This window comes from Homo sapiens, chromosome 17 (genome assembly GCF_000001405.40).
Source record: "Homo sapiens chromosome 17, GRCh38.p14 Primary Assembly".
NCBI classification, from domain to species: Eukaryota; Metazoa; Chordata; class Mammalia; order Primates; family Hominidae; genus Homo; species Homo sapiens.
The window spans coordinates 43,927,137-43,951,397 of NC_000017.11; the positions used below are offsets into that span (position 1 = coordinate 43,927,137).

Sequence of the window (24,261 nt, forward strand, 5' to 3'; positions counted from 1 at the left end):
CTCGGGTCTGCCGGGGGAGTAAGCGCATGGGGAGATTCCCACGGGAGATGGGAGGAGCGAGGAGCGGGAAGACCAGGGCTCAGTCGGCCGCAGGGGATTAGAGGTCAGCTGGAGCGGGTCTTTGATCCACTCCAGAGGCTGAGCCTACTGGACTAGTAGCCACAATAGTTGCCACGTGAGGAGGGGCCGTGGGCCCCAGGGACGCTGCTGGGACATGACATGCGCTGGCGCCGTGCACTGAGCGGGAGCCATTCTGGCAGCCTCCAGACGCTCGTGCCCCTGACAAACACGCGCCCCGCCCCGTCGTTAATGACACCTTTATTTACGCCACCTTTATTAGGTTGGGGTCCAGATCTGCTCCATGTCACCAGGGCGATCTTAAGTCACAATCCCGCCCAAGGTCCCCTTCCCGCCCCGCCCCGCTGGAACACCCCTCCCCTCCCCTTAGTGAGGAAGGATTTGGGCCGCAGACCTGGGTGGTCTCAGGACTCCAGCGGCCTGTTGGGGTGAAGTGGGGTGGGGTCGGGGCGCGGCACAGCTTCCCAAGGAAGTCACAGGACCTCGCCTCGGGATATTCAGAAGTGCTAGTCCAGTTCTGGCAGCCTGAACTCTTCCTCCTCCAAGGTGAAATCCGAGAATACTCTTCCTTCCAGGGAGAGCGACTGACCTGCAAAATGGGTGCCAGTTAGGGTGGCAGGGAGGACGCACATTACAATCATTTATTCCAAAATGTTGCCATTTTCGCTAAACTTTCGGTATCTTTTGTTGCATGTTTGATAATTAATTCACCACCCTGTTAGGTAGGGGCTGCCAGGGAATGAGCGAGGACTCCAGATTTTCTGTAGGAGGGGTGTTGGGGGTAGGCAAGTCGGTCTGGGAGAGAAGGTTTTAATCCGAGTGAAGAGCCCTTTGCACTAGCCTGGGAGGAGGCTGAACTGTCATCCTGCCTTGACTCAACACAGCCATTCCCCTAGAAGTTACAGTGTCACCCTTCAGAGATCTACCCCGTGTGCACACATAGAGAAGAGGCTTAGGTTGTTAGAGTCAGCATGTTAAATCATTTCCTGAAATGCGACTGTAACTAGAACCCAGCTGACTTCCCCCACAGCCATTCTTACCTATTTTATTACTGTCTGGCATAATTACCAGCATGTAAACTCCAAGAAGGTGCTTCATCTTCTTCCAGTGCCTAGCATAGGCATAGGGTGCATAGTGATGGCTTTAAAGTGGAAGGGATTCCAAGGTTCGCCTCATTTAGGGATGGAGCTATTGTTATAATCAGTTTTCTGAAATCATTGCTGACTTCCTCTCACATTTCACAGGAAGCTAGACTTCTTAAAGCTTAAGGTTTCCTTGGTGGGTTTTATTTAAATTGAATTAAAATATTTATTTTACAGGGAAAAACTTCAAAACAAAACACTTTGCAACTTTGTGGTGAAAGTTAAATAAAACACTCTAGCTCCAAATTAAGTTCCCACTGAAATGAAACACTTCTGCTCCTTTTTTAAAAAAAAAAAATTCATATGTAGTAAATAATGACTGTTTTCTTTTAGAGATTAATTTAGAAAGTTAATCCCTATTTAAGGCTTTCATATACAGTCATGCATTGCTTGTCACGTGAGGAGTCTGAGAAAGGTGTCATTAAGTGATTTCACCATTGTGCTAACATCATAGCATATATTTACACAAACCTAGGTGGTATAGCCTATAGCACACCTAGGCTATGGTATGGCCTATGACTCCTAGGCTATAAACCTGTACTGCATGTTACTGTTGTTAGGTTTTGAAGAAAAAGCAAGGGTTAAAGAAAGACACACAGAAAGAGGGCAGCTCAACAGCAAATGCAGGTTTTATGTCCAGCATAAACCCTACAGAAGTGGGAGACCAGCCTCATGCCAGAGCCCACCACTGCTTACAGGCTAGGGCAATTTATAGGTATGGTGGGGAGGGGTCTGGGCAGTAGGGCTTGCTGCCTGGCAGGATATTGATGAGATGTTCCCATGATGAGGTGCTTCTGGCCCTTGTTCCAGCGGGATGTCATCATGGTGTTCCTTGGACCTTTGTCCAGCAAGATATGACAAGGATGTTTCTTTTTCTTTTCTTTCTTTTTTGTTTTCTTTTTCTTTTTTCTTTTTTTTTTTTTTTTAGATGGAGTCTCACTCTCTTGCCCAGGCTGGAGTGCAGTGGCGTGATCTCGGCTCACTGCAACCTCTGCCTCCTGGGTTCAAGCAATTCTCCTACCTCAGCCTCCTGAGTAGCTGGGATTACAGGTGTGCACCACCATACCCAGCTAATTTTTGTGTTTTCAGTAGAGACAGGTTTTCACCATGTTAGCCAGGCTGCTGATCTCGAACTCCTGACCTCAAGTGATCTGCCCGCCTCAGCTTCCCACAATGCTGGGATTACAGGTGTGAGCCATTGCACCAGGCCAGGGATGTTTCTTTCGTTGGGCCTTTGTCCGCCCTGTGGTCAGGTGGTTAGGTAGGATGTTTCTCATGGCCTGAACCCCTGTGAAATGTTTCGCTTTGACCAAGGTCTGCAAAATAGCAAGGAACTTGTAACATGGTGCAGTTTGGCTAACATTCTTGCCTTTTACTTTAATATAAAAGGAAGAGGGGTGTTGTGTTGTTGATTGTCTGGCTACTTCCTTCCGAATAGGGGTGCTGTACTCGGCGTGTGGGTTTTGAAGCAGTGGGCGTTCGACTTCAGAGTTGTTTTCCTTGAGGCGCTGATACCGGCCTTGGCGGAGGAGAATGACGGTATTCATGTGTTTCTGGGTGGTTGCCTGAACAAGGGAGTTCAGCCTTTGGGAGATAAAGCAGGATATGAAGGTGAGTACACATGGGCCAATTGTTAGTATTAGGAGGCAGAAAATTAGGGGTCCTCCAACTGGCTATCCCGGTGCCGAGTGTAGCAGAGATATTTAGTCCTGCTAACGGGAATGAAATGTACAGCCCGCTTGGTGTGTGGGGTGGGGAGAGGAAACAGGCATTACTAAAGGAACCTGAACCTGAATAGTTTGTTAGGCAAAATGTTATTGTTTGGAGATTGAAACACCAGGGTGCATATTCCTGATCAATTGGCCAGTAGGCAGAAATAAGATTTTGCACCACAAAGGAAGAAGATCACAGGTGCATGCCACCACGCCCAGCTAATTTTTATATTTTTTTGTAGAGGTGAGGTTCCCTGGGCCCAAGTGCAGCCTAGGGAATTCTGGCACTCTCCAGATGTCAGAGGTCATAATCAAGGATGACGCCTTTAGTTAGGCAAACCAACTTAGAGCCTCCACTCCATACCATAGGGGAGTCCCAGACAAGAACACAGCTTGGGCTGGGCGTGGTGGCTCACTCCTGTAATCCCAACACTCTGGGAAGCTGAGGTGGGTGGACACTTGAGGTCAGGAGTTCGAGACCAGTCTGGCCAACATGGTGAAACCCCGTGTCTACTAAAAATACAAATATTAGCCAGGCGTGGTGGCCCGTGCCTGTAGTCCCAGCTACTCAGGAGGCTGAGGCAGGAGAATTGCTTGAACCTGAGAGGCGGAGGTTACAGTGAGCAGAGATCATGCCACTGCACTCTAGCCTGGGCAACACAGTGAGGCTCTGTCTCAAAAAAAAGTAGTAAAAATAATAATGTGTTATATATCATATCATATGACATATAATGTAGCTATGATGATACAATAATAATAGCCGTTATTCTTAAAATGGCATATGAGGCAGGTCTTGAAGGATATGCAGCTTCATTGGCCAAAATTTCCATCACTCCCTGCTTGCTCTCTCCTCTGTCAATCAGCTGCTACCAGGGAGGTCCAGTTTCTGAAACACTGGAATCGTGTGAGCAGAAGTCGCCACTCACACCAGCCCTTGGTGTGAGGAGGAGGACATTTGAGGGCAAGGTAGCTGCAGCCCCCAAGCTGCCCTCCACACTGGAAGCCAGTCAAGGCGTGGCCTCCTCAGCTGGAGTTGACATCCAGTTCTGCTCTGGACCTGCAAAGTCTCTGAGGGCTTCCTGCCAGGCTGCAGGGAGGGGTTTGGGTGTAGACCTGGTGGACTGTAAAATTACCCATTTGCCCCAGATTAATGATTAACGGGTCCCTGCCCTCACCCTGTCTGGGAGAGGAGCCCAGGGTCAGGCTAGGCCAAGGGGAGCCCGATAGCATCTGTCTCTGCTCAGAGGTTTCAGAGATATGCTCCATGATGGTTTGACTGCACCTGATGGGTGTGGAATCTACGGGTGATTTCTGAGGCCACCTGGGGCCTGGCCAGGCCGCATACCCTCTGGTGAGGCTTCCAACTTCTGGGGCATACAGAGAGGATGTGGCATCCAGTCAGAAGCCCTGGTTAAGGCAAGTGGCTCCAAACAGGAGAGCTGTCCCTTGGCTCAGAGGAATGTGGGCTTCTCTGACTACTCCTGGCTTGACCACAGGACTTACCCTGGCCAGTGGCACATGAGCAACATGATAAGTGCCACATCTAAGCAGGATGTGGCACTTTAAGAGCTACTGCAGCCGGGCGCGGTAGCTCACACCTGTAATCCCAGCAATTTGGGAGGCCAAGGCAGGCAGATCACAAGGTCAGGAGATTGAGACCATCCTGGCCAACATGGTGAAACCCCATCTCTACTAAAAATACAAAAATTAGCCAGGCGTGGTGGTGGTGCATGCCTGTAGTCCCAGCTACTTGGGAGGCTGAGGGAGGAGAATCGCTTGAACCCGGGAGGCGGAGGTTGCAGCCTGGCGACAGAGCAAGACTACGTTTCAAACAAACAAACAAATAAACAAGCAAACAAACAAAAAAGGAGCCATTGCCTGGTTCTACTTTTGCTTTTCTTTTCTTTTTTTCTTTTTTTTCTTTTTCTTTTTTGAGACAGGGTCTCACTCGGTTGCTTAGGTTGGAGTTCAGTGACGTGATCTCTTCTCACTGCAGCCTCCACCTCCTGAGCTCAAACTATCCTCCTGCCTCAGCCTCCCAAGTAGCTGGGACTACAGGCTTGTGCCACCATGCCTGGCTAATTTTCATACTTTTAGTAGAGATGGGGTTTCGCTATGTCATCTAGGCTGGTCTCAAACTCCTGGACTCAAGCAATCCGCCTGCCTTGGCCTCCCAAAGTGGTGGGATTACAGGTGTGAGCCACCGCACCTCGCCCACCTTTGCTCTTTTACCCTGGCTAGGAGCCCAGGATGTCCCAGAACGGGGTTACTTCTTTTGGGGTGAGCCCTGAAATGATGTATATTCCACCCACACTGGGGGCACCCAAGGAGGCTCCCTTCCCTTCACCTGCCCCTCACCACCATCCCCAAGGCTCACCCGTCTCTGTCCTCTCGCCGTCTCCAGCCTGACCAGGTGGGAGGTCCTGATGCCCTTCCCAGGACTGGGCACTGCGGTGGCCCCAGCACAGGGCAGGGCCCACCTGAAGCAGTGTGACCTGCTGAAGTTGTCCCGGCAGCAGAAGCAGCTCTGCGGGAGGGAGCCCAGCCTGGCTGAGACCCTGTGGGACGCCATGCACCTCGGCCTGGAGTGCCAGTTCCAGTTCCGGCATGAGCGCTGGAACTACAGCTTGGAGGGTAGGAGGGGCCTGCTCAAGTGAGGTGGGGAGGAGGGCTATGGGAGGAGGAGGGCTGGGGGCGCGGGGGAAGAAGGCTTCTGGGAGGAGGAGGAGGCTGGGAGAGGCTGCCTTTTCCTCTCCCCTGGACCCTGTGCCCAGAACACACTGCCCTTGCTACCCTAGCACGGTTCCATATGAGAAGAGTCCCGGGATTAATGAGGGGCAGTTGAAGACCAGGTGTGGCCCAGCCTCAGGTTTCGGGGAGCAGAGGAGCAAGGAAGATCCAAGAGAAGAGGAGACACAAGTCCGGTCCTGGAGGAGCCCACAGATGAGAGGGGGGTCCCCTAGTTACCTTCCTCTGCCTCTTCACACACACATGCGAAACAAGGCACATGAAGACATGAGGACAGGCAGCAGCGGGTTCCAGGACCCATGACATGAGCCAGGCCATGCATTTGTTCACTCCTTTAGCTGTCCCTTTGTTCATCACATCCATTGATCCATCAGTCCCTCCCTCCCTTCCACTCCCATTCTACCTCCCTCCCTTCTTCCTGCCTCCCTCCCACCTCCACCCACCCACTAAGCATCCATGGAGGCCCACAGTAAGCCAGGCACTGTGCTAGATGCTGGAGGTTCAGAGCTGAACAAGACCCCAGCTGCCCTTGGGAAGCATGCAGTCTAGAAGGGAGAACACAGGTCACCATGTGACTCCCTCACCAAGGGGAAAGGGCTTTGATGGGACATTTTTTTAAAAAATGCAGTGATGCTGTACAGGGCAGCCAGGCCTCTCCTAGGCCAGCTGCTCTCCACTGTCAGCAGTCAAGCTGATGGCCTCTCTCAGGACATCACTAGCACCCAGATGCACTGAGGGCAGGTAGGAAGTAGTGAGCCGGTGGGAGGACAGCTTTGGGCCACACCCAGCAGAAAGGAGTAGCGGTGGTCCCGGAGTGGGTGGGATGGTCAGTCTGGGGCAAGTCAGCCAGGAGACTCAAGGTCACTCTATCATTGGGTCTATTCCACAGTGGGTAGCAGAGAATGATATTTGAGAACCATCATGCATCACAGGAAGCCCCCGGCGCTTATCTCAGCGGCCTCAGAAATAGGCCGATCCAAATGGTCACACACTGACTTGGAGTCAAAATGGCGGGTTTAGCCCCAGCTGTGGTGGCACCAGGTATCTGCGTAGCTTCTCTTTGCATCTCAGTGTTCTTCTCTGAGAAGTGGAGGCCATAGCCCCTGGCCTGCTGCCCTCTGGGAATTTGGGCATGTCCTCCACAGTGAATTTGGAAGTTCCATTTAAGTGGGAACTCGCAGTCAGAGTTTAAGGGGCAGTTGACAGGGAGACCCACCCGGAGTTGTGTCCTCAAGCCACATTCCCTCATCCTGCCCATTGCAGGGCTACCACTACCGCCTCCTGCCCTCAGAGAGCAGCAGGCAGCGTCTGAGCTTCTTCCTTTCCTCTCTTCCCCCTTTCCTCCCTCCCCATACCCTTCTACAGTTCCTGGAATGAGTAAGAGAGTCTGGAAGAGCAAGGGGCTGAGAGCCTTCAGTGCCTGCAGAAAAGCCTGGGTTTGTAAGGGCAGCCAAGGCTGCAAAGGGACACATGGTTTGAGCTCTTGAGCTCTTCAACACTGGGCTGTGACAAATGGGGATAAGGAATAGCCTGTTTGCTGGTATTTAGGGTACACTGGTCCCCAGATATCTCCTCCCACCTGTACTATGGAAATTTATCATGGGAATTTCATTTCTTTTTCTAGAGATTCTTGGCTGCGTAGAAATGCGGTCCTGGTCTCACTTGGCTACTGAGCCATCCCATAAACTTCAGTGATATTGACATTGACATTGAATTTCTCACCCCCACTGAGAGCAGGGTTGGTTTGTATGTTTGTTTGTTGTTGTTTTGAGACAGGGTCTTGCTCTGTCACCCAGGCTGGAGTGCAGTGGTGTGATCCTGGCTCACTGCAGCCTCAATTTCCCAGGCTCATGCAATCCTCCCACCTCAGCCTCCCCAGTACCTGGGACCACAGGCACATGCCACCACACCTGGCTTTTAAAATTTTTTTTGTAGAGACAAGGTCTCAGTATGTTGCCCAGTCTACTCTCAAACTCTTGGGTTCAAGTGATCCTCTCACCTCAGCCTCCCAGAGTGCTGGGATTACAGGCATGAGCCACCATGCCTGGCCGAGGGCAAGTTTTAATAAGGAGAAGAGGCCAGAAGATGAGACACTTTCGGGAGAAGTGGAGATGGGAGAAAGGGGTTCTTTTAAGGCCGGGTGTGGTGGCTCACGCCTGTAATCCCAGCACTTTGGGAGGCCAAGGTGGGTGGATCACGAGGTCAGGAGTTCAAGACCAGCCTGGCCAAGATGGTGAAACCCCATCTCTACTAAAAATACAAAAATTAGTACGGCACGGTGGCAAGCACTTGTAATCCCAGCTACTCAGGAGGCCGAGGCAGGAGAATCGCTTGAACCTGGGTGGCAGAGGCTGCAGTGAGCCGAGATCATGCCACTGCACTCCAGTATGAGCGATAGGGTGAGACTCCATCTCAAAAAAAAAAAGGTTGGGGGGGGTTCTTCTATGAGTGGAGGGGCTCTCACGCCTGTTAATCACCTAGCATGTGCCAGGAGCTGCCCAGAGGCTGAGTTACATCACCCAACTCCATCTTCACGACAGTCCTATGCCAGGATTTAACCAGCTCCATTTCACAGATGAGGATGTGGAGGCTCAGGGGAGATAATGTCCCCTAATCAAGGTCACACAGCCAGGAGGGAGTGAAGTCAGGATTCCTACCCAGAAGCCCCTGCTCTTCCTACTGTGCCCCTTCTGGGGTTGGTGTGGGCATGAAGAATTGGTGCACATTTTACAACCTTGCCCCATAAAAGCAGCAATATTGAGGAGGTAGAGGGGACCTGACAGGCCACACAGCTGAGGCTCTGTGGCCTGAGGCAGCCAAGGCCTAAGTCCATCATCCAAGCAGCCAAGACCCACCACCCTCCAGAAGGCTCAGCAGGTCATGCCTCAGGGGCTCCAAAATGGCCAGGCAGGCTGAGAAAATCTCCAGGTTGTGCAGCGGGGCCTGCAATCCTGAAACCAGAAACTGCAACTCCACCCCCTCCCCATGGCAGCGGGCCTAGGGGGAGGGAATAGGGGTGCTGGGATCCCAAAGTAACCCTGCAGGAGAAGGAGGCAGAGGCACCTTGGATCTAGCCAGATGGGGAGGGGCATCTGGTCTCAGCATAACCCCCTTCCAAACCCTGACAGTAACCCCTGGGAAAAGCACAGCCCCCTCTCAAGCCCAGAGCCAGTTTCTCCCTAGGATCTGTGTACTTGGAGCAAAAAGTTACCCGACACCCCACGCCTCCCTGCCTCTGCTACCCACACTTCTGGGCCCCCGGCAGGGACTGTGACCTGGTCAGAACAGCTGGTAGCCCATGTGCTTCCACCCCCACCTTCTCTCCGTTCCGGACTTTCAGGTCACGACACAGGGAGGAAAAGAAGGCTATGCTGGGAGTGGAGCCTCAGAGGGAAAGGGGGCAGGGATGCTTAGGAATATAAAGGGCCTCAGGTCCTGGCCAGAGACACTCTGCTGAGCTCCTCTGCACCTGCCCAGCACCATGGTGATGTCTGGTGGCCAAGTCTGGGCCCCCATCAGCTGTATTCTCTAAGAGCTTGGGGATGGGGGCTGGCACCAAGGGCCCCTCCTCAGGCCCACTAAGGGCATGAAGGAGTTAGGCCAGGGCAGCCTCGTCTGCCATTCTGATGGCCAGGATAGCTACTAGGGCTTCTTATTCCTGCTTGGGGTGGTGGGGATGAGGAGAGTTCCTGGTTAAAAGAGGGTTGAGGGGCCTAGGAGCTCTGGGAGTGTGCATCATGTTTACGGGCATCATAGTCTGTGAATCATTGTGTGTTGCAGGCACAAAATTCTCTGTGCATTGGGTGTGTGAATCCTCAGGCTGGCTTTCCTGTGTGTAACTGTTAGTCATTCATTTAATATGTATTACTGAGTATCTGCTAAGTGCCAGGCACCATTCTAGGTGCTTGTGATCCATCAATAGACAAAATAGGCGAAGAGCCCAGCTGTAATTAATGATGCTTACATTGAGGGAGGATATGCCGCTGGGAAGGGACTCAGACAACAAATATAAGTATAGAATATAGTAAGTTAGAAAGTGCAGGCCAGGTGTGGCGGCTCATACCTGTAATCTCAGAACTTTGGGAGGTGAGGCGGGAGGATCTCATGAGGCCAGGAGTTTGAGACCAGCCTGGGCTACATAGCAAGACTCCATCTCTACAAAAAATTAAAATTTAGTTGGGCATGATTGTATGCACCTGTAGACCTAGCTACTTGGGAGGCTGAAGCAAAAGGATGGCCTGAGCCCAGGAGTTTGAGGCTGTAGTGAGCTATGATCCCGACACTACATTCCAGCCTGGAAGGCAAAAGAAGGCCTTGCCTTAAAACAATAAAATAAAATAAAAAGAAAGAAAAGAAAAAATAGGGCAAAAATAGAGCAAGAAAAAGAGCAAGATGAGGGGTTTGGTTGCAATATTATTTTATTTATTTATTTTTTTAAATCGTAGAGACGGGGCTCTCTGTCTTTTGCCCAAGCTAGTCTTGAACTCATGGGCTCAAGCAGTCCTCCCACCTCGGCCTCCCAAAGTGCTGGGATTACAGGCGTGAGCCACCGCGCCCGGCCAGGTTGCAATTATAAATAGGGGTGTCAGGGTAGGATCCATTTAAAAGGTGGATTTTGAGCTAATGCTTACAAGGGGAGACAGAGCTGGCCATGAGGATGTCTGGAGGAAGAGTCTTCCAGGCAGAGAACAGAGTGACCGTCATTTTGCGGGAACAGCAGGGAGAAAGGAGGGGGATAAGCAAGGAGTTTGCGGGAGAGAGGGCAGTGAGGTTAGGGAGCTGACCAATGGCTTTATGCCGTCCTCATGCGTCCACCTTAGGGTGTGTCTCCTCGTTCGTTTTTTTTTTTTTTTTTTTCTTTTTCTTTTTTTTTTTTTTCTTTTTTTGAGACGAAGTCTGGCTCTGTTGGGCAGGGTGGAGTACAGTGGCGCAATCTCGGCTCACTAAAACCTCCACCTCCCGGGTTCCAGCAATTATCCTGCCTCAGCCCCCAGAGTAGCTGGGATTACAGGCGCCCACCACCACGCCCGGCTAATTTTTGTATTTTTAGTAGAGACGGGGTTTCGCCATGTTGGCCAGGCTGATCTTGAACGCCTGACCTCAGGTTATCCGCCCGCCTCGGCTTCCCAAAGTGCTGGGATTACAGGCGTGAGCCACCGCGCCTCGATGCTCTGCCTGCATCACCGGGCATGTCCAGGTGTGTACCATTCCTCCGAGCACCAGGATGTCCCTTAAGGCGTCCGTGCTCTGGTGTGTGTCCCAGAAATAGACACGACCCTCGGTCTGAGCGCCCCTGCACCCCAGCCTGCCCACCGCGCGGAACACCTGCAAGCTCCGGTCCGGGTGCCGCGCTGACCACAGCCCCGGCATCACGTGACCTCCCGCGGCTCTGTCTGCCCCGCCCCCTCCAGACGCCTGCTCTGCGCTGCGCATTCGCTCTGGCCATAGCGGGCCTCGTGTCGCTGCTGATGCAGCCCGAGGGCGCCCTCGGCGAGGAGCTGCAAGTGCCGCAGCCCAGGGCCGCCAGTTGGCTGAACTTAGGCTCCATCAAGAAGTACTTGGGGAAGCTCTTCAACAGCAGGTGGGCCGGCGGAGGGTGTGAGGAAGGGAGGGAGGGAGGGAGGAAAGCGGGGGGTGGGGGGGGCGCGGGGGGGGGACACGGACGCCACCAGGCACCCCCACGCACATCGCGGCCTGAGCTGGGCTCGGGGAGCGGCCTCATGACTGCAAAGACTTGTTCCCAGCCCGAAGAAATCTAAAAACCACAAGAAAACTGCGAACGCCACGGACACCTCCCCATCAAAAGCCACGAAACCCCCACCATGGACCACCACGAACCCCCAGTGGCTGAACACCTCGGAACCCCGACCACCGACCTCCTCCCGGGGCCCCAGGTAGGACAGCCTGGATGCTGGGCACCGAGCCAGGGGCCTCGGGGCTGGGGGCAGCTTGGGTGCTAGCGAGAGGAAGTTCCTGGGGGCGGGCATGCGGGGAGACACAGCACCCCTGTGGGGGGGGCTTCTTTCTCCAGGCTGGGCCTTGGCCTCCAGACGCCTCTCTGCCCACCAACCCCTTTGTATTGAGAGGGGCCTCGACCCCTCCTCATCCCCTCAGTGAAAACAATAAAGACAAATTTTTGTTGCTTCAGTGACTTCTGTGGGCCTGCGGGCAGGGAGGGACCAGTCCATGGAACGGGAAGTGGGACCCTGTAGTTTCTGCTGTGAGAGAAAAAGACCTCAGCTGTTGGGGGTCCTCCCCTGCCTCCCCTGGCAACCCATCCACCTTCCCCCACTCCACCCACACATGGCCTTGTGGGTCTGGCCCTCCACCCCGTGGTAGAGACACAGATACGGGTCCTGGAGAAGACACTTATTGCCCCTGTAGTCCTGCACAGACAGCACCAGTGTGGGGGGCTCTAACCCAGAGGGAGAGCAGAGGTGAGAGAAGAAACCTCAAAGAAGGGGCTTCAGCTAGACACACCCCAACTCCCACCTGGCTCAAGTTTCTACCAAACAGCCCAGACTCCTCTCCCCATTCACCGCGCATCCCCTTAAGCTGCCAGAGAAAATGCTGGGACTTCAGGCTCCCTCTCCCAGACTCAAACCGTTCTTTTGCGAAACCATCTCTCTATCCAGACATCTTTGGATTTAAGAATCAACCTGAGGCTGGGCACAGTGGCTCACACCTGTAATCCCAGCATTTTGGGAGGCCGAGGTGAGCAGATCGCTGGAGCCCAGGAGTTTAAGACCATGCTGGGCAACATAGCAAGACCCTGTCTCTAAAAAATAAAAAAATTTGCTGGGTGTGGTGGCATGTGCCTGTAGTTCCAGCTGTTTGGGAGGCTGAGGCAGGAGGATCGCTTGAGCCCAGGAGGTCAAAGCTATGGTGAGCTGTGATCATGCCACTGTACTCCAGCCTGGGTGACAGAGCAAGATCCTGTCTCCAAAAACAAACAAAAAATCAATCTGAGCCAAGCAGCTGCATCCTCTAGAAGCTCTTTGCCTTTTAGGACCTGTTTCTACTTCCAGGTCATTTGCACACACCAGATGGAGTAGGACTTGAGGGGAAACACAATTGTGTGTCATTTCCATTTCTGTGCAAGGTGCTGAGCCCAGGAAAGTGGACCCCTCATCCTCCAAACCCATAACCCCATCCCTTGAGACCAAGCATGTGGGGGAGGCAGGAGAAGCCTTTCTAGGAACCAGAAACATTCTAGTTCCCTCACTTCTCCCCTTTACACATGCGCGTACACACGCATGCACACGCGCACTGTCCCCACCTATTCAGGGTGCCTGAGAAGGGCCAGGAAAAGATGGGTTCTCTGGGAATCTGGGAAGTCCTCCCTGGGGCAGGATCCAGGTCCTTGTCCTCCCAGGGCTGGAGTGTACAATCTACAGATTCAACTCATGGTGGCTGGAACTCTCAGCTAATCTAGCCTCCTCCCCTTCCACAGCAGCTTGAATACCTCCTGTGCCCAGGACTTCACTACCTCTCAGGGCAGCCCATTCTCTCCAAATTTCTGGACGGCAGCTCAGGCCCCTGGATGCAGCCATGACTGCCATAGCACCAGAATCGTTCTTCCAGGCTGGGCTGTGCCCCTGCCCCCATGCCAAGGGTGCTTTCGTATAAATTTTGGTGCTTCTGCTGCCTAGGCTGCAGTAAGGCACTGGTGAGGGGTGCACTTGGGGAAGGGTTGTCATCAGGCTGTGTCGGGAAGGTCTATGGGTACTGAACTGGGAAGATTCAAGACTGCCACTTCACAGACTTGCTGAAGGACCATCTGCTCAGAGGAGTCCCTGCCTTCCTCTGGCCACCACTTTTCCCTCTGCGAAGGGGAGAGGATGAGTTGAGTGACTCTGATGACCCCCGCCAACGTTCTGGATGATCCCCTTTTCCTCTGCCCTGCCCTGCCCTCCCCTTTCTCTCCCATGCATTTGGCACTTCCTGCTGCCCCCACCAGGGGTCCACAGAGACACAGGACAGGCTGTGGCTTTGACTTGCTTTATTGAGCCTGTGTGGGAGCAGGGAGCAAGCTTTGGCCAGAGCCAAGGGTGCAGAGGGGAGAGCTGGGCTGGCGCTGCTCATGGAGTCGTAGGAGACAGAAGGTGGCATTATAAGTCCAGCGGGCTGAGCTCCCTGTGAGGACAGGGCAGAACATGGCAGTGTAGGGGGTAGGCCTCGTGCCCTCAGGAGGCCTCAGGCTGGCCCTGGGCTCCTGTTCTCCCTCTTCCACCCCCCACTACACCTTTCCAAGCCCTGATTCAGTCCCACCACCCCCATTTCAGCTCCAGGGAGCTGGACAGACAGGGCAGGGAGTCAAACTCACCTGGGGACAGCAGCATGCGGGGACCCCCACTCCGAGAAGGCCAGCGTGTCCTCTTTGTGTCTTTTCCCATACCTGGGAGGGAAGAGGCAGCAGGGGCAAGCACTGTGCCCAGGTGCCAGCCCACCTGTTTCATATCTGCCTGTAGGCACCATCTTGCCCAGGGCACATTGGTCTAGGCCTGTTGAGCACAGATGCCCTGTTTTCCCAAGAGCAGGCCTGGAAGGGGCTGGGGCTGGGGCTGGGGATAGGGTGTGGCCAGGAATGTGGAGTGGGCCCAGGGTCCCAGGGGCTGGGATCTCTCTCCCCAACTGTGGCACACACCTAGGCCTGGTCAGCATGTTGATGTATCTACGGAGATCAGCTGCATACTGGGCCATCTGCTCTGGTGTGGCATTGTCCCCTGGGTACACTGGCTCCAGTGGGGCTCCCTGGGCACCCAGCAGTGGCTGTAGTAACAGAGCCACGCAGGTGGACAGGAGCAGCAGGGAGAGGCAGAGGCGTGCGGCAGCCATCTGAGGAGCAAGCAGAGGGGAGGTGGAGAGCCCGGGCTGCAGATTTTCCCGTGCCCAGGAAGCAGGGCCCAACTATCCAGCCCCTTAGCCCATCATCCATTTCTCCAAGCCTGGGGACAAGGGGGCAGAGCAAAGGGCCACTCCAAGCTGGCCACTCCACCTCCTAGACACTGCTCTGAAGGCACGGACAGCCTGTCCTGTGAGCAGCCCAGCAAGCCAGGGCCTCGCAAGTTAGAAAAGTATAGCAGAGAAAATGGGGATGTGAGTCCTGGAGACACGGGACTCATGACATCCAGGGCCTCATGGCTCCCAGGAGGCAGCAGCTAGTGGGAATAAGGGCATGCCAGGTCACCCACAGGGTGGGGGACACAGAATGAACTCGGGAAGCCAAGGACAGAAATCCATGGCCTTGTGGGTCTGGCCCTCCACCCTGCGATAGAGACACAGATATCGGTCCTGGAGAAGACGCTACTGTCCATGTCGTCCTGCACAGACCAGCAAAGGCACTCACACAGGGACCCCAGTCACTCACAAGGTCACAGTCACACATTCCAGTTCACAGCCATGCACACGAGTGTGCACACACACGTGCAGTCAGCAGACGGCTCTTCTAGCGTGACAGGTCTGTCCAGATGCAGAAAGCAAGACCCAAGCAGGACCTTAGGCCTCCCAAGGCCCCTGGCCCTGCAAAGCACCACCTCCTCTCCATCCCAGGCCCCAGCCTGGGGGAGGCCCCCAGAGCCCCAGGCAGGCTGAGCCCACTTACCCGGAGTCCAGAGTAAATGGGCACTAGACCAAGCGAGCACCTGCCTCAGGCCGGATGGGCCCCTGCCCTCGGCTGGGCCGCTTTATAGTCCTCAGCCCCCCAGAGTCCCCGCCTCCTGTCAGCCTCTCTCACTCCGAAGCCCTCACCCCTCCTCTCACTGTCTCCTCATACTGGCAACGCCAGTACTGAGGCCAGAGACGGGAGGGGGACAGGGCAGTTCTGTGGGTGCCAGACCAGCAGCATAACAGATAAAACTGGACCACAGTAAAAGTCTCCTGTGGGCCCCCATCACTGACACCCCTTCCCTTTGGGCACCAGAGCAGGCTTGGTTCAAGAAAGATGGGGTTCTGGGACTCGAGAGTGACTGAAAGGTTTTGGTCACAGGCCTTGGAACTAGCTCTCCTGCCTCCCAAAGATCAACCCAAATCATCCAACGGATTCTCTTGGGGCAGAAGATTGAGGCTGCAGCTGGAAGACTGAGGCTACAGCCAGAGCCTCCAGGCTGAAGAATGGAAACTCAGGCCATCCTCTGCAGCTTGCAACTAGAACAAGGTGGGAAGAGGGAAGGGGCCTCAGGTCCTCAGGCAAGGTGGAAAGGAGTGGGGTGCCAGGCTTGGAGAAACCCATTTGGTGGGTGCATAGGATGCAGAATGAGAACTCATGTGCCTGGGTTCAGGGGAAATGTTGAGGGGGGTGCCGGTTTCCAGTATCCATTTCCCTCCCCATCTCAGAGCCCCCATTCCAGGGAAGTGCTAAAAACCAGCTTCATTTGTAAAGCCTCACATTTTCCAAAGTGCTGCCAGCTCAGTCACCTCACTAAATCCCCACAACAACCCATTTTACAGATTCAGGATCTGAAATCTGCTCAGAGATGTCAAATCACTGGCCCCAAACCCCACAGCCAGTCAGACCCCAAAATTTAACTCCAAACCTGGACTGTTTTTTTTCCTAAGTGGGGCCGTCAAAGTATTGTTATAATTTCCCACTTTTTGGCTGAGAAACCTGAGGCTCACAGAGGTAAAGACGCTTGCTCAAGATCTCATAGCTACCGAGGTTCCGAATTCTGGCTTAGATTCTCAACCCCACTAATCCATCCCCACCAGAAGCCCCTGAGTCTCCCCTGCCCAGCGTCTCTTCCCAACCCCCAGTCTCCCTCCCCTGCTTAGGCCAAGGAGTGGTAACTGGCTGTGTCTGAATGACACGGTGACACCAAGTACGGAGCTAAGGACTTATGACTGCTGACGTTCTGCTGTCCCAGATCAGTATACCAAGAAGTTGGGAGATGGGGGGGACTGTTGGGGAAGAGGGGACTGGAGGTGAAACTCCAGGGATCTGGCAGGGTGGGCTTAGAGTCAGACAGACCTGGGTCCAAATCCTGGCTCTGCATTGGCTGGCTCTGTGAGCCTGGGAAAGTAATTTCTTTAGCCTCTCTGAGCTTCACTTTTCCTCTCAGTAAAATAGGCTCATCACACCCATCTGAAGATAGGGAGAATAAAGGAAGGCTCAGCAAACATCAGTGTTCTGCCTTGACCCTCTCAATTTTGATTTTGGTTAACAAGAAGAGCAATAATGCTTCACCAGACAACTTACATTCCACAAAGCAAATACGAAAGTCATTCTGTCTCAGCAAGCCCGGGCCTTTCTCTGGACTGAGGTTTTCCACTTGCAAAACAAGGGTGTGAATTGGTGGCTGGTCTCAGCCTGGCCTTGGGTTTGGCGGGTAGAGGTTGCAGCTCGCCGCCAGAGGGCGCCAGGCTCCAACCCTAGTTAAAAGGATCTGAGCTCCCACAGGACCATGGCCTTGGAGGGACCTGTTCTGGCTGCTACTCATGTGGGGACCCAGCCCCACCCAACAGACAATGGATCTAGGGATTGACTCAGATGCCAGGGCCACTTACAGTTCTATCCTGTCGCAGAGGTAAACCTAAGTGCCTAAGAAATAACAGGCACTCCACAAATGTCAACCAAACCGTAGCTTTCATTTTTCTCCTTTGCAAACAACAGATTCCTCTTCTGGGTCCTCTCAGGGATGTGGTGACAATCCAGGAGGAAGTGGTAGTAGATGTGCTTTCTACACTGCATGGCCATGTGTATTAGTTCCTTCTCATACTGCTTTGAAAAGAACTGCCCGAGGCCAGGCGCAGTGGCTCACGCCTGTAATCCCAGCACTTTGGGAGGCTGAGGCAGGCGGATCACCTGAGGTCAGGAGTTCAAGACCAGCCTGGCCAACATGGTGAAACCCCATCACTACTAAAAATACAAAAATTAGCCGGGCGTGGTAGCGCATGCCTGTAATCCCAGCTACTTGGGAGGCTGAGGCAGGAGAATCACTTGAACCAGGGAGGCAGAGGTTGCAGTGAACCGAGATCGTGCCGCTACACTCCAGCCTGGGCTGTAACAGAGTGAGACACCATCTCAAAAAACACACAAAAAACAAAAAGAACTACCTGAAATTGGGTCATTTATAAAGGAAAGAGGTTTAATTGACTCACAGTTCAGCATGGCTGGGGAGGCCTCAGGAAACTTAAAATCATGGTGGAAGGCGTAGGGGAAACAAGGCACCTTTCTCACAAGGCGGCAGGAAGGAGAAGTGCTGATCAAAGGGGAGAAGAGCAACTTATAAAATCATCAGCTCTCGTGATGACTCACTCACTATCACGAGAACAGCATGGGGAAAACTGCCCCCATGATTCAATGACCTCCACCTGGTCTCTCCCTTCGCATGAGGACTACGGGGATTACAATTCAAGATGAGATTTGGTGGGGATGCAAAGCCTAACTACATCACTATGTCTAGAACACAGCAATGGTTCTCACTCATCTTGATGTGTTCCTGTCAGAGGCGTTTGAACCACAGCGACTCCATCTTGAACAAGGGCTGGGTAAAATGAGGCTGCAACCTGCTGGGCTGCATTCCCAGGAGGTTAGACATTTTTAGTCACAGGACAAGATAGGAGGCCGGCACAAGATACGGGTCACAAGACCCTGCTGATAGAATGAGATAAAGAAGCTGGTAAGAACACGCAAAAACCAAGAGGGTGATGAGCATGACCGCTGATTGCCCTCACTGATTTTTCTTTTTTTCTTTTTCAGCAGAGATGAGGTTTCACCATGTTGGCAAGGCTGGTCTCAAACTCCTGACCTCAAATGATCTGCCCCCATCGGCTTCCCAAAGTGCTGGGATTACAGGCATGAGTCACCGTGCCTGGCCTCGCTGATCATTATACACTAATTATAATGCATTAGCATGCTAAGAGATGCTCCCACCAGCATCAGACAGTTTACAAATGCCATGGCAACATCTGGAAGTTACCCTCCATGGTCTAAAAGGAGGAGGAACCCTCAGTTCTGGGAAATCCCCACCCCTTTTCTGGAAAACTCATGAATAATCCACCCCTTGTTTATTAGTATATGATCAAGACATAACCATAAAAATAGCCAAACGGCAGCCCTGGGGGCTGCTCTGCCTATGGAGTAGCCATAGGCTTTTATTTATTGATTGATTTTGTAGCGATGGAGGCTCACTTTTTTGCCCAAGCTCAAACAATCCTCCTGCCTTGGCCTCCCAAAATGCTGAGATTACAGGCATGAGCTACCGCACCTGGCCCTTGTTTCCTTACTTATCTAATAAACTTACTTTCACTCTACTCTGCGGAATCACCCTGAATTCTTTCTTGCATGAGCCCCAAGAACCCTCTTTTGGGGTCTGGGTCAGGACCTGTTTTCAGTAACATTCCCACAGTGCTTGCCACAGAGCCCTGCTTAAAGAAAGCACCAGTTCCTGGCCTGCAGACCCACTAAATGAAGATGATAGTGGTACCTCTTCCCCTGCCCAACACCACGCCCTCTGGCACAAGGTGGATGGCCACTGGCAGTGATGGGGATGGAGTAAGTGCTATGAGACTAGGAGAGGAACACCCCAGGAACACCTGAGGTCACAGAGTGAATGAAGGCAGGTAAAGGAGCAAAGGGAATGGGGGCCCCCACATACGTGACCCCAGGGCAGCAGCTTGGCCTGCACCAAGTCCTCCATCACACACACTCCCCCGCCCCACCCCCGCATCCTGGCTGTCTAACCACAATCCCTGCTGCCTTCAGTTAATCAACCAATGAGTGGTCATTCATTGCACATCTGTTCTGGGCCTCATGGGGGCAGCGGGAGGTGATGAAGAAGCAAGGGTTCTACAAAGAGGTCAAAGCTACGTGAGGAGCCGGGGAATGGCTTGCTTTTTTTTTTTTTTTTTTTTTTTTTTAGACGGGCTCTCACTCTGTCACCCAGGCTGGAGTGCAGTGGCATGATCATTGCTCACTACAGCGATGTTTCATGGGCTCAAGGGATCCTGCCATCTCAGCTTCCCAAGGAGCTGGGACCAAAAGTGTGTGCCACCATGGCCTGCTATTTTTTTTTTTTATTTCTTGGAGAGATGGGCTCAAGCATCTACACACCTCAGCCTCCTAAAGTGCTGGGATTATAGCTGTGAGCCGTTGCACCTGGCCAGGATGGCTTTTTTTGAAAGTGAGGACACGAAAGTTCAGAAAGGGGAAGAAACTGGCTGTGGTCCTGCAGCAAGCTGGCAGCCGTCCCTCACCTAGCCCTGCGCTTCAGAACCTTACTCACAGATCATCTTACAAATGCCTCTTTGCTACTTTGTGAGGGAGGCAGGAATTACTCTTCACCCTTATCAGATGAGAAAACCAAGGCCCAGTGAGGTAGCTGAGGCTGTCTAAGGTTACATGGGAGTCAGGAAGGGTCAAGACTAAACCCAGGTCCACGTGGTTCCAGCCTGGCTTCATCCCTGTTTGCAGACCCCCCAATCCCAACCCGCCACTGGCCAGAGCCTGGCCCAGCTCTTAGGCCAATGTCTTATTCCAAAATTAAATGGCAGCAGCAGAGGAAGGGATAGATTGGGGGGTAGCTGCCCCCAGATGCCAGGACCTATGCCCTGGAGAAACCCTTGGGCTGGGGATAGCTGTGACATGTACACACATACCTTGGGCCCCTTGTCTCACCCACTCTGAGCCAACTCAGGACCCAGTGGGGGCTCACTCCACTAATTTGGAGCCTGGGCTCTGCCTCCACTTCTCTCTGCCCTGGGAACTCCATCTGCCTCCAGGGCCTCCTGAAGACACGCAGGGGAGAGTTCAGTATTTCTCCCTTCCTGTCTCCAGTGTCTGCAACAGCAAATCCTATCATTGCCGCTCCAAATTTTTCTCAAAGAGGAAGCCTTCTTTCTTGCTGAAATAGAAACTAAACCAAGCTACATAATACAGTTTGAGAACAGCCTGGCCAACGTGATGAAACCCCATCTGTACTGAAAATACAAAAAATTAGCCGGGCATGGTGGTAGGTGCCTGTAATCCCAGCTACTTGGGAGACTGAGGCAGGAGAATTGCTTGAACCTGGGAGGCAGATGTTGCAGTGAGCCGAGATGGCACCATTGCACTCCAGCCTGGGTGACAAGAGCAAGACTCCGTGTCAAAAAAAAAAAACAGTGTTGGGGAGGTAAACAGAGAGGGCAGGGCAGGAAGATTCCTGGAGGAAATGAGGCCTGAAGTGGCATTGAAGGCTGGGGGCAGGGGAAATGCTGTTTCACAGAAGCAGGGCTCTGTGGCAGTGGGACTGAGCACTTTAGGGGCGCACACTGAGAAACTGCAGGAAATGCCACCAAAGGAGGAAGGGGTGTTATGAAAAGCCTGAGTTTCTGGCAGAGAGTTTAGATTTCACGTTTAGTAGAATCAGAACTGCTTCAGGGTGAGATATCTTACCTCTGCCCCTCACTCTATGGCCTCCTGCAAGCCTCTCTCCCTGTCCGCCTTGGGATTCTCATTGCTTCAATGAAGAGATAGGCCCAGATGATTTCTAGATGATATTCAAAGGACATCACGTTCCTAGCAGATAACGTTAGGTGCCCAAATATCCACATTCTCCTTTCATCATCAAAGACTTTGAGATGGTACATATGTAGGTTTGTTATATAATAAAAAGATAATCTGGCTGGGAGCGGTGGCTCACACCTGTAATTCCAGCACTTTGGGAGGCCGAAGCGGGTGGATCACCTGAGGTCAGGAGTTCAAGACCAGCCTGCCCAACACGGTGAAATCCTGTCTCTACTAAAAATACAAAATTAGCTGGGCCGTGGTGGTGTGCGCCTGTAATCCAGCCTCCTCGGGAGGCTGAGGCAGGAGAATCACTTGAACCCAGGAGGGGGAGGTTGCAGTGAGCCGAGATTGTGCCATTACACTCCAGCCTGGGCAACAAGAGCAAAACTCTGTCTCAAAAAAAAAAAAAATCCATTTATAAATTTAAAAAAATTTTAAAAACAAAGAGCTTAAGATGAGCACACAGCCACTCAGCTAAACACATCTCATAGGTTGTCTTTGCAACTAAGTGGGGCCATGAGACCAGGCTTTAGCCAATGGGCTGAGAGTTAAAGTGATTTTTGCCATTCCGTTTTTAGGAATGGATGTGCCTGCCTATGGCAGATTATATTTTTCAAAGATGACAAAAAAAATCTCCTATCTCATGTGTAATTCTACAGTGGGGTCTGTGTCCCCTCTTCTTGAATGTGAATGCACTTGTGACTGCTTTGACCAACAGAATATGGGATATGATGCCTTATCTCCTGAGGCTGGGTCACAAAAATGATTGTCATGAGTTAAATTGTGCCCCCCCTGAAATTCATATGTTCTAATTCATAAGTCCTAACTCCCAGTACTTCAGAGTGTGACCTTATTTAGAAATGGGGTCTTTGCAGATGTAATTAGTTAAAATGAGGTTGCCAGGCGCGGTGGCTCACGCCTGAAATCCCAGCACTTTGGGAGGCCAAGGCGGGTGGATCACAAGGTCAGGAGTTTGAGATCACCCTGGCCAACATAGTGAAACCCCATCTGTACTAAAAATACAAAAATTAGCCGGGTGTGGTGGCGCGTGCCTGTAGTCTCAGCTACTCCAGAGCCTGAGGCAGGAGAATCGCTTGAACCCGCGAGGCGGAGGTTGTCGTGAGCCTAGATCATGCCACTGCACTCCAGCCTGGGCGACAGAGCGAGACTCCATCTCAAAAAAAAAAAAAAAATGATGAGGTCATACTACAGTGTGTGAACCCCTAATCCTATAGGACTGTTCGCCTTTGAAAAGGGGAAATTTAGACACAGAAACAGCCATGCAAAGAGGGAAGATGATGTGAAGAGGCACAGCTCAGACACCCATCTTCAAGGCAAGGAGAGAGGCCTGGAACAGATCAGAAGGAATCAACCTGCCAACTCCTTCATTTCAGACTGCTAGCCACAGGAACTGTTGTTTAAACCACCCAGTCTGTGATTCTTTGTTATGGCAGCCCTAGCAAACTAACCAGCAATGCCATCTTCATCTGATTCTCTTTAAATACTCCAAGCAGGAGACCAGTTACCATTTAAGTCCAACTACCCCAAGAATATCAGACTGGGGAGGCCACATGTAGGTACAATGGTCAACAGCCCCGGCTGAACTCAACAGCCAGCACTAGCATGCGAATGAGCCTTCTCAGGCATCAGCCCAGTGGATCCTTAACCACAACCCTGCCAACCTCTGATAGTATCCGCATGTGAGACTCAAAGCAAGAACTGCCAGGGGGAGCACTTCCTGATCCTGACCCACAAAATCCTGAGTGATGTACAATGGTTGCTTGAAGCTGCCAAGTTTTAGGGTAACTTATTATACAACATAGTAACCAGAGTGCTTACCTTCCCCTTCCCTCCCTTGCCACTGGCCGGAACACAGATGAGGCCATGGTGGGCTGTCTTCAGTCCTGTAAATGACATAGATGAGGGCATGGGGAAGCCACAAACGAGGAGCCTGGGCTCTTGGATGCCCTCATGGAGCACAACTGCCAACTCCCCACGTGCCACTCACATTTCATGCAAGAGAAATAAATTTCCATCTTGTTTAAGCCACTGTTAATTCCACCTGTTTTTTTTTTAAGCCAAATCAATATCCTAGTAATATGATATATGTAAAACAAACAGCTCAGTGTCTCGCACATAAATAAGTGCTTTTTGGAAAAAATAATTATTGCTATTGTCATTATTATTATACTAATAATAATTATTAATAATGTTATTACCCTAAACTGCTCAACACTCCTCAAAATGAACATGAGGTGGACCCATGTCACTGATGGTCAATGAGACATGTCAAGCTGGGCAGAAATTGTCTGTGGTCATGCCTAACTCATACCAGGTCTCTCTTCCATCCGCCTTAAACTGACTATAGCTCTCCCAGGCAGACCAATAGACAGGGGATCATGGACACCAACACACAGACACATCCTCCCACTCCCCACCCACACAATGAACCAAAGCTCAGGGCAGCCACTGTGTGCTCTCGTCCCACCTGTCCTGTTGCAGGAGAGAAGACAGGAGGCAAAATAGGATGGAAAGTGGGTCTAAGATAATGAGTGGGGAGAGGGAGTCAAAGAAACTAACTCCATCCCCAAGAAATCAGGCAAGGCTTCCAGGAGGAGGTGACCACTATCCTGAGAGTATCTTCCAGGCTTAAGAGAGGGAAAGGGCTCTGCAAGGAGGTAAAGTGGCCTGGGCAAAGGCGCAGAGCATCAGAATCCACATAGCCAGTGACCTCCACCTGCCTCCTCTGCCTCATCCTTTCAGCTCTACCTCCAGGGAGGCTGGAGGGCAGCACAGGGGAGGGTGGGTGTCAGAGCCCTGTGGCCCCCAAGGGACCTGTGTCCAAGCAGGGAACTTCTCTGCAGCTATGGCAGAGTCAGCTTTAGAGTCTTCTCTCCTTCCAGAACCATTGAACTGCAAATACTCCTTAAAAACCCTGATCCAGCCCAGGCGCGGTGGCTCACGCCTGTAATCCCAGCACTTTGGGAGGCCGAAGCAGGCAGATCACGAGGTCAGGAGATTGAGACCATCCTGGCCAACACGGTGAAACCCCGTCTCTACCAAAAATACAACAATTAGCTAGGTGTGGTGGTGAGAA

At 52.4% G+C, this 24,261-nt stretch overlaps 1 protein-coding gene, 1 long non-coding RNA gene and 1 other non-coding gene across 7 annotated transcripts, besides 1 other annotated feature; 2 read left to right on the forward strand and 1 right to left on the reverse strand.

Moving 5' to 3' along the window:
- Nucleotides 1-458: 458 nt before the first annotated feature.
- LOC102724183 (Wnt family member 9-like) lies at nucleotides 459-7,381 on the forward strand. Of its 3 annotated transcripts, none has more exons than XR_001752901.1 (6): nucleotides 459-624; nucleotides 2,659-2,831; nucleotides 3,796-3,898; nucleotides 5,337-5,566; nucleotides 5,731-6,721; nucleotides 7,046-7,381. It is a non-coding gene; the product is annotated as a Wnt family member 9-like (transcript). The 3 variants fall into 3 exon arrangements; XR_001752902.1 differs by lacking the exon at nucleotides 3,796-3,898 and having other exon boundaries at nucleotides 5,731-5,856; nucleotides 6,570-6,721; XR_001752900.1 differs by lacking the exon at nucleotides 3,796-3,898.
- Nucleotides 10,911-11,411: an enhancer, noted in NCBI's record as "H3K4me1 hESC enhancer chr17:42015415-42015915 (GRCh37/hg19 assembly coordinates)". NCBI's record gives its function as "activates a minimal SCP1, AML or CMV promoter by ChIP-STARR-seq in naive H9 embryonic stem cells {active_cell/tissue: H9 hESC(naive)}" and the evidence as "EXISTENCE:reporter gene assay evidence [ECO:0000049][PMID:30033119]".
- Nucleotides 11,125-11,826, forward strand: LINC01976 (long intergenic non-protein coding RNA 1976). The gene is made up of 2 exons (NR_136406.1): nucleotides 11,125-11,261; nucleotides 11,425-11,826. It is a non-coding gene; the product is annotated as a long intergenic non-protein coding RNA 1976 (long non-coding RNA).
- A 1,841-nt stretch (nucleotides 11,827-13,667) lies between these two features.
- Nucleotides 13,668-17,079, reverse strand: PPY (pancreatic polypeptide). Of its 3 annotated transcripts, none has more exons than XM_011524978.4 (4): nucleotides 16,875-17,079; nucleotides 14,328-14,518; nucleotides 14,007-14,078; nucleotides 13,668-13,816 (listed from the first exon to the last, which is right to left on the reverse strand). In XM_011524978.4, exons 1-4 carry the CDS (start codon nucleotides 16,899-16,901, stop codon nucleotides 13,792-13,794), a joined length of 315 nt encoding a protein of 104 aa, XP_011523280.1. In that variant the 5' UTR covers nucleotides 16,902-17,079; the 3' UTR covers nucleotides 13,668-13,791. The 3 variants fall into 3 exon arrangements, with proteins under 3 accessions (XP_011523280.1, NP_002713.1, NP_001306138.1); NM_002722.5 differs by lacking the exon at nucleotides 16,875-17,079 and adding an exon at nucleotides 15,285-15,340; NM_001319209.2 differs by lacking the exon at nucleotides 16,875-17,079 and adding an exon at nucleotides 15,051-15,138.

Coding starts and splice junctions, on each gene's coding strand:
- PPY (XM_011524978.4), bottom strand. CDS start 16,901: ATGACTTTCGTATTTGCTTTGTGGAAT. Junction 14,079..14,327: donor AACATGCTGACCAGGCCTAG/GTGTGTGCCACA, acceptor CTTCCCTCCCAG/GTATGGGAAAAGACACAAAG. Junction 13,817..14,006: donor CCGCATGCTGCTGTCCCCAG/GTGAGTTTGACT, acceptor CTGTCCTCACAG/GGAGCTCAGCCCGCTGGACT.